Source organism: Homo sapiens, chromosome 4 (assembly GCF_000001405.40).
Source record: "Homo sapiens chromosome 4, GRCh38.p14 Primary Assembly".
NCBI lineage: Eukaryota > Metazoa > Chordata > Mammalia > Primates > Hominidae > Homo > Homo sapiens.
Window position 1 is genome coordinate 57,636,254 of NC_000004.12, and position 19,274 is coordinate 57,655,527.

The following is a 19,274-nucleotide window of genomic DNA, read 5'->3' on the forward strand; positions in this document are numbered from 1 at the left end:
TCAATTCAAAATCTACTTGCCTTTTTTTCTGCAAAAATGCTGAATGTTAATGTTCTATGCATTTTAGTCCATAAAGTATTATTTTTGGCTGCAACTGTTATTAAAAAATATAACTTATTTTGCTTCAAGTGTATTCTAGCCTTCAATTCATGTCATCACTCTAGTAAGTCTGTTCTTCCTTAAGAAAATTGCAGACACACTGTGATTAAAATGCTATCATCAGTTAAATAATTTTAAATATTTATAATATTTTTTAGGATAGAAATATCAATAGATATGCTTTTATGGCATTTGTGTTAAAGATTTGAAACAACTCAATAACAAAACATTTTGTTATCTCTCCTTTGTTCTTTATAGGAGATTATTTTTTCCTAAGTTTAGGAAGTTAGGCTTTCTAAGTGAAAAGGTTTTAGCAGTTCTTGAGTCTTTAGGGGCAGCATATAATTTATTCTAGGCAATATGTGATGTTAAAAAAATTCAAAACAATTACAGAAAAATATGGCATTTTGGATATTGATAAAATAATAACAACAACAAATCCCCACAATACGTACAAATTCCAAATTTCTTTGATGAACATGTTGGAGATATTTCAATACACTATTTTTGTATAAGGACCCAGTTGTATGATTATTAGTGCAGGTAAACAAAGCAGAAATCCACACCTGGATTTTATATGAAAACTCATTGCACACCTGCCAATTAGGGCTTTGCTGAATTGCGTGCTGTTGTCTTGTGATGAAGCTGCATCAAGAGCATTGAAAACATCATACATTCTCTAAAAAAAAAAAAAGACCTCAGTCACGGTCTTTGAGGTAGAACCAGGGAGATCAAGGAACTAAAATTCCGAGTCAAGGACTGAGGTTGAGATAATTAAAAAGTGGAAGAGAAGAGAATGCAGTCTCTTAGCAGAGACTGCGTGTACTGACACAGTGCTTTTCTTTGTCAAAGCACCACATAGACACTTAACTTTTTGATCCTTACCCTGTCTTTAAAAACTAATTGTTATTTTCCTTTTTAAGAATGGTGACTAAATAATGTATGATACTAAGTTAATTTCCAAGGCTTCTTCAGGGGTCAATGAAAGCCACAGAACTATAGGTTAGACACCTAAAACTTCTAATATTAGGCCCCAGTACTTTCTCTTAAAAAGTCCCTATAAAAATAACAAAAATTACCTCTTTTTCAATAAAATGGCGTAAGCTTTTCTCAAATTGTCTCAATGTTTTTTAGAGAAGTCATAAAAATGTTTGTTTCAAGTGTGTAGATAAAATATTATATTAATTGTTTGTAAAGACCTGCAAATAAATTATAGCTGAACTTCAAAAAAATCATAAACTTTAAGGTTGGCTAAGGACAAAGTTGTGAAAGGTATAATTTTCTGCAGTGTCTTCCCACATCTCTCCCCACCTCCCTTCTCTCTCTTTTTCTTTAGCAATTCTCTCCCTATAGGTCAGGATCTCTGCCCTAGTAACTCCTGATCTTATGCTGTGTGTTCAAGAACTTCTACTGCTAAGCCATGCATAGTAGTTATTCAGACGTTTGATCGGGAGGAGGCAGATCAAAGTCTGAAAAATATCTGGCCCTTATAAGCTGAGTGACCTTGACAAATTTCTTTTTGACCTCTCCAAGTGTCAATTTCCTCATCTGTCAACTGGGATAATAACCGTGTTTCTCTCAGACTGTGCATGCGAAAAGACTTGGCCCAAATATCTGAAATGTTTGAAATAGTAAATAAATTTGAGTTATTTTTCATGCCACTTCTTTTTTTTTCTCTTCTATTCCTCACTCTCTTCCTGTTACTATTTCCTCAAACTCTCACAACTTGCTCTGATAATTAAATCTTACCTTGCTGTTAATGAAGATTTCATGGTAAATATCTAAAGATGTCTTCATTTAAAAATAAACACTTCCTAGTTTGTGGTGATTTAACCCTTTAATTCTTTTTGAACCTCAAGTGCAGAGGTTTGATTTAATTCATTTATTATTTAATTTGTTATTCTGTTTGTGTTTTTGTAGACTGTGTATTTCTATTTTATTTGCAGGTATCTTAATTTATGTAAATGGTAATACTGTGTGTTAGATCTTAGTCTTTTTCATGCTTCTTTCACTCCACAGGCTATTTTTCAGATCCAGCCAAGTTGTTAAGTGTATGCTGGTCTCTCGTCTTTAATTGTTGTGTAGTACTCGCCAGTGGGCATCAATTCAAAGCTTTTAAACTTTCACAAAAGAACTTCTAAAGACTGAGGAGAGTGAAGATACATCCCCTCAGCCTCTCAAAGGGGAGCCCAGAGCTCTAGGCCCATATTCCTTTGAAATAATTTGATTTATTATTTAAAAAGAAATCATGATTTTTGCATCCTATTTCATAATATGTCCATGTTTGGTTACTATAAAAACAACATTGGGGTTATGGCTGAGTTGTTTAATTGTTATTTTCACTATATCTAGAAAAATGACACTCTAGGAAAATGTACCAATTTTTTTTTTCCTGTTGAGTGTCCATATTCCCTGCGCACTGCCACATATCCCAAGTTTGAGAAGCATGGTCTTAATCTAAAATAAGCAGTTTCTAAAAGTAGGATTTCAGGAAACATTTTGCTTGGGAGACAAAGAATAATACTTAAATTGCTTCTTATTAGGAACTTCAGCTCTGATCAATATACTTAGCACTAAATACTTGAAATATGTCACTTCCCACAGTAAATAGTCGAGGCTACTGTCTTCCACTCCAAGTTAACCATTTGGAATATGGAATAACTAAATGTGTTCCTAAATAAATGCTTTTGAAAGAAGCTAAGTCTTTAGGAGATTTGCCATGGGGTACCTGTAGAATGGCACCATGGGGAGTCTTATATAGGGTTTCAATGAATCTCCCTTTATTTCCATTAACAATTTCCCAAGCCATCTAGAACAACCATATAATCCAAGCAATAACTTCAGATGCCACCCCTTCCAGCCAGGTGGTTTCCCACAACTATTTCCTAGACAGACATTCTAGAGCCACCACATTTCTGTCTTCGTGACTTTGGAAATGCTGTTTTAAGTCTTCCCTCTGTCTTTCACTGATCATTCTTTGTGGTTCAGACAGAGGCTTACCTATTCTATGGTACTTTCCCAAATTCCATTTATTATTGTGTTTCTCTGAACTTCCTTGTCACTTAAAGTTTCCTTAACTTATTCCTTATAATTTACCCTGTTGCTTGTGTGCTTAACTTGATTGTAAACTCCTTGTTGAAAAGAACTATATTTTATATATTTTTTAGAATTTCCCTGGGCACCTCGCACAGAAGTGGACATATAGTAAGCTCTCAATGAATACTTATTATTTGATTGAATTGCCAGCCCTTAGCATGTTTGGTTGAATTTCAATTGTACATGCTGTAAGCCTTGGTACTCAAAGTGTGGATCACAGGCTAAGAGCATGAGCATCACTGGGGAGCTTGTTAGAATTGTAGAATCTGGGTCCCACCTCAGACTCACTGAATCTGAGTCAGCATTCAACACGGTCTCCTGGCTGATTCATATGCACATTAACCTTGAGACATACCTAGTGTTCTTCCAAGCTCGCAGTGTCAGTAGGTTAACAAATTCTATAAATACTCAAATGTCAGAATCATTCAATGTCATCTAAAGCTTAAAGAATATAAAATAACATGTTGAAGGTTCAGAAAATCTTCTAAAACTTGATATCTAGGCTGTATTCCTGGGTGAAATCTGGCACACTCCTTGTTTTTTGTGTAGCCTTTTGATATGGGAGGGGGGCAGGGAAGTGCTGGGTAGAGAAGGGTGAGGTCCTTGGTGAGGGCTCCACCCTCAGGCCTGCATCTGTCGACCTAAGTGAGAACAGGTACTCCTGTTTTCATGCCCGACTGTTGCATTTTCCCAAACCACTGTGGCCTGCCACACTCCCACACACAAGTGGCTGAACATGGAGAGGAGCAGCGGACAGCAGCAGTGAGCAGCAGTGCGGGATGGCAGAGAAGGAGGGAAGAAGCACCTGAATGTCAAGAGGAGTTCGCAGAGAACAGTCAAACTCCAGGGTATGATTATCTCTCCCACCCCTTCACCTTCCGGCTCCCCATCCATCTCACTGAGAGCCACCTCCACCATCAATAAAACCTTGCACTGATCCTTCAAGCCTGCACGTCACTTGATTTTTCCAGGATACTGGGCAAGAGCTCAAGATACAGAAGGCTGTCACCCTGGCCCTGGGTCCTTGCAATAAGGCAGAGGGTCCATTGAGCTGATTAACATTCAAGCTGTCTTCAGATGGCAAAGCTGAAAGAGGTTTGTAATACTGGGGTTGCAGGCACTCACTCCTACATACTACCACAGGGCCGAGAGCCCAAAGCCCTCGCCCAGGCCTCTGCACCTGCCTGCCTGCATGCTCCCGCTAGGGGTTTGAGCTGCCCGGAGATGGAACAGGCAAGCCACACCCCTGCTACCTGTCCCACGAAGGGAATCAGAGAACTCTCCCATTTCACTATGAATTAAGAATTTTTTTTTACATTTTCAAATGGTTAACAAAATCAAAAATAATTTCATGACACATGAACATTATATAAAATCAAATTTTAGTATCTGTAATAAAGTTTTATTGCAATGCAGCCACACCCATTGGTTTACACAATGTCTTTCACTCTACAACACCAAAGCTTTGTAGTTGTGACAGAGACCATATGGCCAGTAAAGCTGAAACTATTTTCTATGTGGCCCTTTACAGAAGAAGGTTTGTTGGTCTGTGATCTAGATTCATGCTTATAGACTGTGATCTAGATTCATGATCTAGATTCTAGCTAAACTTGTGGAAAACGAACCATGAACTTTAGACATTCATCGCCTTTTTTTTTTTTTTTTTTGAGACAGGGTCTCATTTTTTTGCCCAGGGCAGAGTGCAGTGGTATGATCATAGCTCACTGCAGCCTTGGACTCTTGGGCTCAAATGATGTTCTCACCTTGGCCTCCCAAAGTGCTGGAATTACAGGCATAAGCCACCCTGCACAGCCTATTTGTTGACTTTAATATTCTATGTATGCATAACATAGGGGGATGCACAAGCTGCATTATACAATTACCTGCTGTGGAAAATTCTTTTGAAATATTTCAAAGTCATTGTCTTGTGGAATAACAGCTTTCTTTTCTAACCAGTCACAGGAAGTAAGAGAAATAAAAGTGCTTGAAAATATCCAGTATGTCATTGTCATTTATAACTCAGTAAGCTATTACAGTTTTGTCAGGTCCAATCTCTAAGGAGGTGAATGAAAATATATATCTTGGGCAATTTGACCCCTATCAACATCATGCATCGTGGTTACTCTGACATCCGAAGAAGAGCAATTCTGCTCTGTTAACTTGAAGACTCGAAGTTAGTGGTAAAGGTCACTCCCTCCTTCACCTTTAGCTACTGGATATCAGATTGAAATTAAAGTGAGGAGGTCTGGAGAAGGTGTTCTACATCTTCTGTCAAATTAGCCTAATCCTCATTAAGTTGTCTTGCTAATTCAGCATGTTTGAAGGGCTCCTGACACTATGAGAAATGTCACCCTATTACTTTAAAGGACTTAAAGGATATGAAGCTTCTTGGTTTGAGTCAATTCCTCCCGGATGCACCCTAGGGCTTAGGGGTGTGTGTGCCCTTCTTAGCTGCTTGCAGGATTGCTGTGCATCCTTGTGTTTAGCAATACAGAATGGCAGCTACATTGATTGGCTGAATAAAACATAAGACAGGAGAAATCCGAAGGCTGCCTGAAGTACTTGTGTTCTTACATCCTTCACATGCAAGATTTGTTAAAGCAAATAAGTGATACTGTAAAAATAAATGTAATGTAAAAGGTGATAGGTTATCAAATGTTTGCACTCTAAAATTTAAATAAAATCCCACCAGAAATATTTAAGTGCTGAATTTCAAGTTCCTGCTTGAAACAATTCGTTTTGAAAAGTGTATTGTTTAGTTGACAGCTTGCTGGATGACACGCAGTAAAGTGTGGGTTATGCTCTCCTCACTAGTAAAATACGTTTCGAGCCATTCTACTTCTGGGTAATTCATATTCTTTGCTGTATACACTGTGAATACCTGGCTTCTTTCAAATCACTTTCTCTGATGATAAGCAGCCACCACAACACTGTAGGGTTTACTTTAGATGAGGGACTGGAAATGAAATTAGCCATTTAAATAAAACACAAACAATGAAAAAATGTGAACCCGTAACTACTTTACTTTTCTTCCATTCACGTTTTGGGAAGAATTAGAGTGAGTTAAGAAAGAGAAGCTCGACAGTGGGTATGATATCAAGCTTGAAGTGAATTGGAAAATGTCACCCAAGAGTCTCTAGGTTTCACCAACCTGGGGTTGCAAATGGGACCATGATAATAGTAGCCAGAATGTTATTATTTCTTGCTCCAAATTTTAATACTGAAGCACCAGGCAAAATCCTCAGCCTGGTGCCGGTGTCCTCCTTCCTAGCCCTATTGATTTTTCCAGACACTAAGGTCTCAGAGGGCACTGCTTCTGTTGGGCCAGGCACCACAATTGATGCGCCACAGTCCTCAAAGTGCCTAAATTGGGCTGGGTGCTCAGTGAATCAGGAGAAAATGTCTCTCTCCTCTTTGATAGACTGTTCTGGAGGTCCCAGTATGGTGCTCTTGTGCATCAATATTTTACAATGCAAAGAAATCCTTGAAATGTTTACTTACAAATCTTTTTTTTTTTTTTTTACATTTTAAAATATATTTATTGATATTTTGGGGTAGATGTGATATTTTGATACACGTATACAATATATAATGATCAAATCAGGGTAATCAGGATACCCATCCCCTCAAACATTTATCTTTTATCTTTTCTTTGTGTTGGGGACATTACCCAACACAATTTTCCTCTTCTGGGTATTTTGAAATCTATAAGATGTTATTGTTAACTATAATTTCCCTGCTGTACTATTGAATACAAGAACTTTTTTTTTTTTTTTTTTTTTTTTTAGGCAGGGTCTCACTCTGTCGCCCAGGCTGGAGTGCAGTAGCGTAATCTTGGCTCACTGCAACCTCTGCCTCCTGGGCCCAAGCAATCCTCCCACCTCAGCCTCCTGAGTAGCTGGGATTACAGGCACGTGCCACCATGCCTAGCTAATTTTTGTATTTTTTGTAGAGACAGCATCTTGCCATATTGCCCAGGCTGGTCTCAAACTCCTGAGCTCAAGCGATCCACCTGCCCCTGCCTCCCAAAGTGCTGAGATTACAGGCGTGAGCCACCGTGCCCGGCCTGAATACAAGAACTTATTTCTTCTATCTAAGTGTATTTCTGTACCATTATCCAACTTCTCTTTCTTTTTTTTTTTTTTAATTATACTTTAAGTTTTAGGGTACATGTGCACATTGTGCAGGTTAGTTACATATGTATACATGTGCCATACTGGTGTGCTGCACCCACTAACTCGTCATCTAGCATTAGGTATATCTCCTAATGCTATCCCTCCCCCCTCCCCCCACCCCACCACAGTCCCCAGAGTGTGATATTCCCCTTCCTGTGTCCATGTGATCTCACTGTTCAATTCCCACCTATGAGTGAGAATATGTGGTGTTTGGTTTTTTGTTCTTGCGATAGTTTACTGAGAGTGATGATTTCCAATTTCATCCATGTCCCTAGAAAGGACATGAACTCATCATTTTTTATGGCTGCATAGTATTCCATGGTGTATATGTGCCACATTTTCTTAATCCAGTCTATCATTGTTGGACATTTGGGTTGGTTCCAAGTCTTTGCTATTGTGAATAGTGCCACAATAAACATACGTGTGCATGTGTCTTTATAGCAGCATGATTTATAGTCCTTTGGTTATATATCCAGTAATGGGATGGCTGGGTCAAATGGTATTTCTAGTTCTAGATCCCTGAGGAATCGCCACACTGACTTCCACAATGGTTGAACTAGTTTACAGTCCCACCAACAGTGTAAAAGTGTTCCTATTTCTCCACATCCTCTCCAGCACCTGTTGTTTCCTGACTTTTTAATGATTGCCATTCTAACTGGTGTGAGATGGTATCTCATTGTGGTTTTGATTTGCATTTCTCTGATGGCCAGTGATGATGAGCATTTTTTCATGTGTTTTTTGGCTGCATAAATGTCTTCTTTTGAGAAGTGTCTGTTCATGTCCTTCGCCCACTTTTTGATGGGGTTGTTTGTTTTTTTCTTGTAAATTTGTTTGAGTTCATTGTAGATTCTGGATATTAGCCCTTTGTCAGATGAGTAGGTTGCGAAAATTTTCTCCCATGTTGTAGGTTGCCTGTTCACTCTGATGGTAGTTTCTTTTGCTGTGCAGAAGCTCTTTAGTTTAATTAGATCCCATTTGTCAATTTTGTCTTTTGTTGCCATTGCTTTTGGTGTTTTGGACATGAAGTCCTTGCCCATGCCTATGTCCTGAATGGTAATGCCTAGGTTTTCTACTAGGGTTTTTATGGTTTTAGGTCTAACGTTTAAATCTTTAATCCATCTTGAATTGATTTTTGTATAAGGTGTAAGGAAGGGATCCAATTTCAGCTTTCTACTTATGGCTAGCCAGTTTTCCCAGCACCATTTATTAAATAGGGAATCCTTTCCCCATTGCTTGTTTTTCTCAGGTTTGTCAAAGATCAGATAGTTGTAGATATGTGGCATTATTTCTGAGGGCTCTGTTCTGTTCCATTGATCTATATCTCTGTTTTGGTACCAGTACCATGCTGTTTTGGTTACTGTAGCCTTGTAGTATAGTTTGAAGTCAGGTAGTGTGATGCCTCCAGCTTTGTTCTTTTGGCTGAGGATTGACTTGGCGATGTGGGCTCTTTTTTGGTTCCATAGGAACTTTAAAGTAGTTTTTTCCAATTCTGTGAAGAAAGTCATTGGTAGCTTGATGGGGATGGCATTGAATCTGTAAATTACCTTGGGCAGTATGGCCATTTTCACGATATTGATTCTTCCTCCCATGAGCATGGAATGTTCTTCCATTTGTTTGTATCCTCTTTTATTTCCTTGAGCAGTGGTTTGTAGTTCTCCTTGAAGAGGTCCTTCACATCCCTTGTAAGTTGGATTCCTAGGTATTTTATTCTCTTTGAAGCAATTGTGAATGGGAGTTCACTCATGATTTGGCTCTCTGTTTGTCTGTTGTTGGTGTATAAGAATGTTTGTGATTTTTGTACATTGATTCTGATACCAAAGCCGGGCAGAGACACAACCAAAAAAGAGAATTTTAGACCAATATCCTTGATGATCATTGATGCAAAAATCCTCAATAAAATACTGGCAAAACGAATCCAGCAGCACATCAAAAGCTTATCCACCATGATCAAGTGCAAGGCTGGTTCAATATACGCAAATCAATAAATGTAATCCAGCATATAAACAGAGCCAAAGACAAAAACCACATGATTATCCAATAGATGCAGAAAAAGCCTTTGACAAAATTCAACAACCCTTCATGCTAAAAACTCTCAATAAATTAGGTATTGATGGGATGTATTTCAAAATAATAAGAGCTATCTGTGACAAACCCACAGCCAATATCATACTGAATGGGCAAAAACTGGAAGCATTCCCTTTGAAAACTGGCACAAGACAGGGATGCCCTCTCTCACCACTCCTATTCAACATAGTGTTGGAAGTTCTGGCCAGGGCAATTAGGCAGGAGAAGGAAATAAAGTGTATTCAATTAGGAAAAGAGGAAGTCAAATTGTCCCTGTTTGGAGACGACATGATTGTATATCTAGAAAACCCCATTGTCTCAGCCCAAAATCTCCTTAAGCTGATAAGCAACTTCAACAAATCTTTATCTATCTAAACTAGAGCCCAGACATGTCCATGGGTCCAGTCCACAGATGTTTGACTAATTGCTCCAGTAATATATTTGCAATCAACGCTCACATCCCTGGCTTTGTTGCCAGACCTGTTTGTTGTGCTTTCCTCTTTGTCTCCTTGTAATAAATGACCATCCGTGAGTTTCTTTAGCCCCCATGAAAGTTGACTTGAAGGATGTCAGTTGCCAAGTCACAATGTATGTTCATCTTCAGATTCAGCAATGAGGCTACCAGCTTCCATGCAAACATTCCTTTGTTGGGCTACCCTTCTAGTCCATTAGACATTCCCAGACCTGTCTGACCCCCAGCAGTGGACAAAACCTTGGCTCAAGGCAGGTGGTTAGTGTGAGCCAGAGAGTTTCTTAATGCTGTGTATCCTATTCTCACATGGATAGTGGGATCAGTGTTTCTTCCTGCTCCCTGGGAAACCTGGGAAGATATAATATTTGATATGTCAAATAACATATTTAGTTGAGGCAAAGAGTAGATCTATTTGAAGTGGCGGTAGGACAAGTTCTTTTGCTCACTGAGTATACCCGCATGTCAGGCATTGTGCTATGTGTTACCTAACTTAATGATCATAAAAGTCTGCTTTGTTTTTATAGTTTATATTATTACTCCAAAACAAAGACAGAAACAACCCCTCTTGAAACTCCTGATATCCAGAGTTGTAATAACTTGCCCAAGTTTATTAGGAATCAATTAGAAAATGGTAGGAGTTTCAAACCTTTGTCAATCAGACTCCAATGCCCATTAACTTCTTTCATTCTAATATATTGAAGGTATTTGTATATCCTTCTTATTTATTTTTGAGACAGGGTCTCACTCTGTAGCCAAGGAGGGGCTGCAGTGGCATGATCACAGTTAACTTCAGCATAGACATCCCAGGTTCAAGTGATTCTCCCACATCAGCCTCCTGAGTAGCTGGGATTACAGGTGTGTGCCACGACGCCCAGATAATTTTTTGAGTTTTTCATAGAGATGAGGTTTTGCCATGTTGCTGAGGCTGCTTCCTATTTATTTTGAAAAAATATAAAAGGAATCTAAATCCCTGTTTATATTTAGATTCTCCTTACAAATTTCCTCTAAATACATTAGCCTAAACTACATACTCATCCTTATTCTTTGCCAGAAACTTTTCACAATAATCTTTTTCCAGAAGAGTTGTTTCAGTATATCAGCACGATAGAGAAGGAGCCACTATTAAGACAAACAAGTCTAAGCAATGCTATCATGTGCAACACCTTGTAGCTGACAAAAATTAGCTACTCATATTACTGGAAGCATAGACTTGGATACCTGCCATTTCATCAGTGGAAGAAGCTTCCTCCCAGTGATAAATTGATTCCAGTTATCTAACAGCCTTCAGGCATCTACCACACTCAGCCAGGAGACCATCAACCCCTTTAACAAAATGAGAAGGAAGAGCAAAGCCAATGCCAAAAGAGAACAACAGGGTGTGAAATTTGGTTTATTGTACTCTAAGTCTGTGGACCAGTCAGATCATGTCATAAATATGCTCCTCACAGTGCTCTGCCTGGAACTTCAATTACAGAGATAATAAGTACATCTCTAGCACAACTGCTTTCTGTATTTCTGTATTGTTCTAGACATTGTAACAAAGAAAATAAGTAATTAGCGGCTTTTTGTGTTAAGTGCTTTAGCTGCAATTTGGCTGGAGTATTTTAAATTTAATTGTTTCAATATTAATCATGCATTATTTTGTAAGCAATACTTTATCAACTAAGGAGACTCTTACTGATAGAATGGATGAGTCTGTTCCATGTTTTCTTTGTAACTGTGAATATTTCCTAATCCCCGTGTATACGTGACTGGTTTTAACATTTTAACTATTAGATTTTTAAAATATATGTATCAGAATCAAATGCATGAAATCGGTTAATGGGATTGGTAAAAAAAAAAAAGGATGTTAATAAAATACACAAATAAATTTGAAAATTTCAGCATAGTACATATTTGTCTCTGGAAATTTCTATTGATATGTATAAGTAATAAAATATATATTATTTTTATGGGAAAGTTTTTACCTGCTCTGATTAAGTCTAAAAAGTTAAGAAATAAAGTAAGGCATATGTTACTATGTTACATTATATTCATCATATGAATCTGTACATGGTTAAAGATGACAGTTTTTTTAATCCTTTAATGTACAGTGTGAAGAACTTTTCATAATTCTTTGATGTCAGATAATGTAATATATTGGTAATTATTCGATGATCCTTTATTTGCTACAGGAATACAACTTACATATTTTATTGGTGAAAATTTTACATTAAATTATAATTTCCTAACAGTTCATTTCACTCAAGAATTTTATTGTGTACCTTCGAATTGGCAAAATGTTTGAAAGTTCTCCATAAGAAGTACTCTCAAATTATGTGGCATATAAGCTATCTAAACTATGGGATTTGAAATTCTATGATCTGTGGTTTAGTTTTATACATAACAATAATTAATAAAGCAAGGCACAGTCTCATAAGTAACAGATAAACCACCATGATGTACCAAGGCAATGATGAATGTCCATCAGCCCCTTTCATTTGTGGGTTCTGCATCTGCATATTCAATCAACCACAAATCAAATATAGTGTGAAAAAACATAATAACACAACAATATAAAATACAAAATAACAACTGTATTTATATAGCATGTATATTGTATTAGGCATTATAAGTAATCTAGAAATTATGTAAGGTATACAGGAGGATGTGCAGAAGCTATATGCAAATATTATGCCATTTTATATAAGGAACTCGCGCATCCTTGAATTTTGACATCTGAGGGGATTCTGTAACAAATCCCTCATGGATAGTGAGGAAGGAGTGTACTTTTGTCAAAGAAAAAAAAGATACTTTATGTCTGGCACTCATATTCTTACATTTATAAACTAATTCAATTATTAGTATTGCAATTTTATTATTTTTTGATTCATTGTTGAGAAGTATTAAATTTTCTTCCTTGCACAATAAGAATATAGTCCAACTTCACTTTCATTTTTTAAAATAAGAGTGTTAGAGATCCTTAGAGAGCATATAATTATGGGCTACAAATTTAAATCAATTCAGGTTCCAGGCAGGTAAGCTAATTGGAGAAAGCCATTGAGTTGTACAATAACACGGAGTGGTGAAGTCAAGTCAATAGAGACTTGGAGAATGTATTTCTCCTACAAACGCATTAAAAACAGAATACAGCTCTCACTGAGCAAAACCTAACTATAGGGTATTTACCTAAGGGGGCCAATTTGCACCCCTGCAGAGGTCCAATGATTTGCCATGCAGATGATCAGAGGCAGAGCAGAAGGAGGCCTTGCACATTTATTAACTTTTAAAAAGACACTAATTTATTGAAAACCTACTCTGAACAAAACTTTGGGCCAGGGAGGGGGTATTCAGCATTGAAACTAACAGAAGTGACAAATCTTATCTTAAGTTCATTCTGTGCTGCTATAAGAGAATATCTAAGACTGGTAATTCATAAAGAACAGAGACTTATTTCTTATAGTTCTGGGAGCTGGGAAGTCCAGGGTAGAGGGGCTGATCTGGTGAAGCCCTTCCTGCTGCTTCATTCATGGCAGGAGGTGGAAGGGTGAGGGAGCATGAGAGCGAGAGCAAGAAAGAGGCAGAAATGGCAGAACTCACTCTTTTTGTCTGGAATTGACTCTCATAATAACGAATCCACTCCCATGAGAATAGCATCTATTCATTTGTGAGGGCGGAGTCCTTATAATGTAATCGCCTCCTAAAGATTCCACTTCTCAACAATGTTGCCTTGGGGATGAAGTTTCCAACACCCTAAACTTTGGGGGACACATTCAAACAATAGCACCTATGTTTTCAAGTCACTTATGTCTCTTGACTCAGATGATTCCTGATTAATTCCAGTAATGCAGGTTATGATACATTGGGAAATGAAATCCTAAAGGTTTTATATGACTGTTCATGTTCTAAGAATTTAAAAGCTAGATATCCTAGTAATATACTAATATATCTACTTAAAAAATCCAAATATGTATGTGTAACTTTAAAAAAAAATCCCCACAATAATACTAATGCCTACAACTTTATCTATATGTTGACAAAGCATCTGTTAACAAAAGAAAGGCAGAAGAATAAAAATATATATTCTCAATTCACTCACACACATAGACATAAACTCACACACACAAAATAAAATGCTCCAAACAAAGGTAATTTAAAAAGACAGCTCAATTCTTTTTTGTATACTTCTCCTTTAGTATTTAGATAATCAGTCTTGTGAAATAAATTTTTGGAGAGCAGATCATGTAGATTAAATTGGCTCTAACCTTTAACACATAGAACAACCTCAGAAGCAGAAAGCTAAAATGCTTTCAGTAAAAGGCACTAAATAAAAATATATGTGAAGAGGCGGGTATAACAAAATAGGAAGTTTGTTGGGATCTGTGAGTTCTTATTGAACTAGAGTGTAGAAATTGCTCAAAGACATCAACATTCTTCTTTTTAAAAAATATGTTTTCTGCTAGCTAAAACAAAGCACTTTGTTCTGAATCCCTCCCTAGTCTGTTTAACCTAATTCTTTCCATTGCTTTCCTAAAGCAACTATCTTGAAAAACCAGTCATGACTTTAAAAAAAAATTACCAAAATCTTCTGGTTTTGATATGGAAACCATTAATTAAAGGAGCAGATTCACTCCAGAATTGCAGCACTTGAAACCAAATCCATAACAAGTTTTACCAGAACAAGGTTTTCTTCCTATGGGTAATCACTTATTCAATTAAAATATACTTCACACTTTCATTACCTGAACAGAAGAAAATAGAAGATAATATGTTATAGCTAAAAAATTAAAACAGACACAAAGGAAGAAGAGCACAAGTTCACATCAGGGCTTGGCTTTTATATTTACTGGAAAGAAGTATTTTCTTTTTTCTTTCTTTTTTTTTTTTTCGAGATGAAGTCTTGCTTTGTTGCTCAGGCTGGAGTGCAGTGGCACAATCTTGGCTCACTGCCACTTCCACCTCCCAGGTTCAAGTGATTCTCCCACCTCAGCCTCCTGAGTACCTGGAATTACCAGTGCCTGCCACCATGCCCTGCTACTTTTTGTATTTTTAGTAAAGATGGGGTTTCGCCATGTTGGTCAGGTTGGTCTCGAACTCCTGGCCTCAGATGATCAGCCTACCTCGGCCTCCCAAAGTGCTGGTATTACAGGCATGAGCCACTGCTCCTAGCCAAGAGGTATTTTCTTACTTTTTAAGGAAACAGGTCCCCACAGTCTTTTTAAAACCAGAGAGAAACATAGCTCCTCAAGCTGGCATTAAGACTTTTTGGTATTTGGAAATGCAGTGTTTTAAATCTTGTTGCTTTAAGTACAGGAGATATAAGCTAGAAGAATCACTCATGCTGTCAACCCTTTTGAGAAATAATACCAAAATCTCTTCCTGCGTCATTAGGTGAAAGCATTTATCATTTAAAAAAATCAGACAGCGGTCGCTTTGCCATAAATTTTCATTTCCTTAGAAAATATAAAGATCAAAGCATTTCATTTTGTAAAGCATGCATTAATGACCATTACGGTTATCAAAAAAGATTTTAAACTGCTGTGTTCTTGTCCTTGACAACTTACAAAGAACCACTTTTTGTGAAGTGGTTCTCCCAGGAATCTGGGATACAATCAGTAATTGATTTTGTTGAGAGATCTAATTGTTTGATAAAAGCATTATTTCATTTTTTAGAATGGTAACCTTGGGGGAAGAGGTCTTAACCTTTCTTTTTTTTTCACAGTCCTGAAGAGATGTGTCTCTAGATTGAATGGTACTGCAAGGTTGACTGAATTAATTGATTGGTCAATTCAGCCAAGTAGCCAATTTTCTTTTCTTTTCTTTTCTTTTTTTTTTTCCTCATTTGTTTCCTTAGAGTTGAGTTGATTTTTGTCATTAGACTGAAGAACTAGGCTTCAAATAGACCAGGAAAAGAATTTACACTTTGCCAAACAGAAGCAAATTACTGAAAGCCTTTGAAACACTTGATCAAAACTGTTTTCATAAAGGCATATTTTTAAGAGTGCGAAAACTCTTATAAAAACTGTCCTTAATTTAGTATCTCCAAAAGTGAGCTTCTAGTTTTTACCTTCTCATCTGTTTCTTCCACAATTTTCTACCATCCATGATTCCCATGTTGTAACTGACTTCTGGTGACATTACTCCTCTACTCAAAAATACTCATTGACTTTCCACTGCTCGTGAATCAAAGTAATTCTAGATTCCTTGAAATTTGGTGGTGACTTTCTTTCATCCACTAAGAAGGTACTTGAACACTTTCCAAAGCAACCTTTAGACTACTTGCTCTTCTCTGAAATAATCCTTCCTCTATGCCTTTGTATATCTTGTTCAACTGACGCAAATGCAGGTTTTCTGTTAATCATCCCGATAGTTAACTGAATGTAACTTCAGTTTATGTATTTGTGGAGCTCCTCTAAGCTACTCCTGGGGAGCATCTCTTTTCCCTGTCTTTTTTTTCTTGTTTCCTTTCTTCCACTCTACCCATAACCACTAGTTCACATCACAGCTCGGTTTTTCATGGGGCACTCAAATCTGCTGCCTATGTTCAAGCCTCTGTGTGTTCATGAGGAAAAACTGAACTAACATTGAATGCATGTTACCATTTATCCTCTACGGAACTGACTACACTTTTCCTGCAGTGCTCAAAACCCTGTGGATATGTGTCAAGTGTTAAGTACTCATGCTATTACCAATGCCAAAGGACTGCAGAGGTGGAAGTTCCCTGCTGCAAACTATACAAGGGGATACTGGCCTTAAAATAAACTGCAACACAATCATCATCACTGATAATAAATCTAAAGTGGTCGTTATCTTGGACATGAATGAACTAATTTCTCTGAATTGTTTATGCCTCTGGGGCACAGTGTAGAGAACAGAGGACTATTGGACATCTGCAGAGATCAGAAGCACATATTCCATTCAGAAAAAAAGATGACTCTCTTTACTTGAGGGCATGATATGGCCTTGACTCAATGTTAAATTAACCGCAAATCAGCAAATATCCAGTAGCCATCAGGCTCAACTATTTTTTTTCCTTAAAAAGAAAGAAATGGACTTTTTACAATGTCTTGCTTATGTCTGAGGCCCAATCCTACCTATTGAATATATACCTGAGCCCCTGTAACTGAGGGCTGAAAATATTTCCCTCAGTGATGCAACGCCAATCTTGTCAAGTTGTTCAAATAACTTGACTAGGTTGTGGGTGGAATTATCTGTAAAACTTAATGCATCAAACAAAATTAATCTTAGAATAATAAACTGGATTTAAGTCAATTAGTACTTAATATGAAATGGTATATAAGACAATAATATTTTTCATCTCAAGTAGAAAAAATCTCTAATCTAATACATTAGGGTTAACTTAGTGATCCAGCAAAGTTAGCTACTATTGAAATAACTTGATCTAGGCAGAAATTTCTATTTTTACAGTTATTGTCACCTTTAAAGCAGTAGAAAATTGAGTCTCAGAGCATTTGCTTATTAGGCTTGCACTGAAAGGCTAAATGAATTGTACTGAGTTGATAGGATTTTGGTGTGGCTTTTGAGAAAAGATTCTCTTCCAATTATTCATAACTTCCAGTATGCCAGTCTCAGAATATTTTCAGGCTCTCATTAGGAGATTTTGGTATTCTGGGTTTGGGTAAACTGCTTTTTGGGTGGTACAATGAGGAACATTTTAATTTTTTCAATTTGGTTTCTACTTATTCCATATGTGTATCATTTTGGCTAAAATTTATCAAAGAAACTTACTCTTATAGTCAAGAGACAGTAATGAAAGTATGGAATTTAAAATTACCAGGCTAAAAACAATTTTGAGGAGTCAAATGCTGAGTTTTAAAAACCCCAAAGAAATAGAAGATTGTTACTTGAGTAAATGTTGGCCTTCTCTGAATATGCAGTTTATATCAAACTCTAGATTTCAATAGCTGTTGATTGGTAAGGGGTCTTGTCAGTGAGTTGAATGTCAGAGGAATACATCATTGTCTATAAGGCAATTGTATTAGTCCATTTTCACACTGCTGATAAAGATATACCAGAGACTGGGTAATTTATAAAGAAAAAGAGGTTTAATGGACTCACAGTGCCACATGGCTGGGGAGGCCTCACAATCATTGCAGAAGGAGAAAGGCATGTCTTACATGACAGCAGGCAAGAATGAACTTGTGCAGGGAAGCTCCTCTTTATAAAACCATCAGATTTTGTGAGACTTATTCACTATCATCAAAACAGCCAGGGAGATACCTGCCCCCATAATTCAACTACCTCCCGCTGGGTCCCTCCCATGACATGTGGGAGTTGTGGTAGCTACAATTAAAGTTGAGATTTGGGTGAGGACACAGCCAAACCATATCAGCAATTTAAGTTGTTTCTAAGGAAGACATTCTTGTTCATTTAGCAACAGTTGGTGAAATAATATATAAGTAAGAATGCATTAAGAATTGTAACATATGGTAATACAAATTATGATTTTAATGGACACTTTATGATTTTACTTATATACTTTTCCATAGTTTATGTCGCCTTGATACAAAAAGTCCATATTCATAATGAACATAAGCCTGGGAAGCTCATATTTGCATAAAACATGGTCCAGAACCAAAATTCATGATTCAATGTGTCAAAAACTGTAAATAAAAACAATCACAGAGCTGTGTCAAATCTCACTAGTCATGTATCTACACACACAAAAATATTTTTATGCATTTTAGGGATTCCAGCTTCTTCTGAGTATGACAGTAATGTGCTGTCCCCGTTCTCACACTTTCCTATCACACCTCCACCCTCAACATTCTTGCTCATGTCCCTGCAATTTTGTTGAAATTGCTCTTATTTTAGCTCCTAAAGACCTCTTCTTGCTGATTTGAAAGGGCATTTGATTTTTCTGAAACATTTTACATGGAGTGTCATCTTGAATCATTTTCTTTCTCTGTCTTCCTGACAATATATTCTCTACATATTCTTTTGGTTTGTCTCTTACCCCTTTGGTCATTCTTTCTCAGCCCCCCTCAAGGTGACCTTTTCTCTGCCAAATTTTATTAACTTTAAAACTTAAAGCTCTTTTTCTTTACCCTTCTCCTTCATCCATACACATCTTCCCTAAATGATCTTCATCTTCTTCCGTGGCATCATTACCATCCACATGCTGATGACTCCCAAAAGCCAGCATCTCTCTTGAGCTCACACTTAGATGTCTGTGGTAAATATCTAAGGGATTTTCTGTTGAGGACTCATTTTCTAGGAAAGACCCTCCCTTTCCATCTGCATGTTGAAGTTGTGCTATTGTATGACTTTTCCTTGTACCACAGTTAATCTGTCCAGGCGTGGGCACTTGATTCAAGCTTGGCCAACAAATTTGTGTCATGAGATTTTTGGGTTAGAGACTGAGAGTC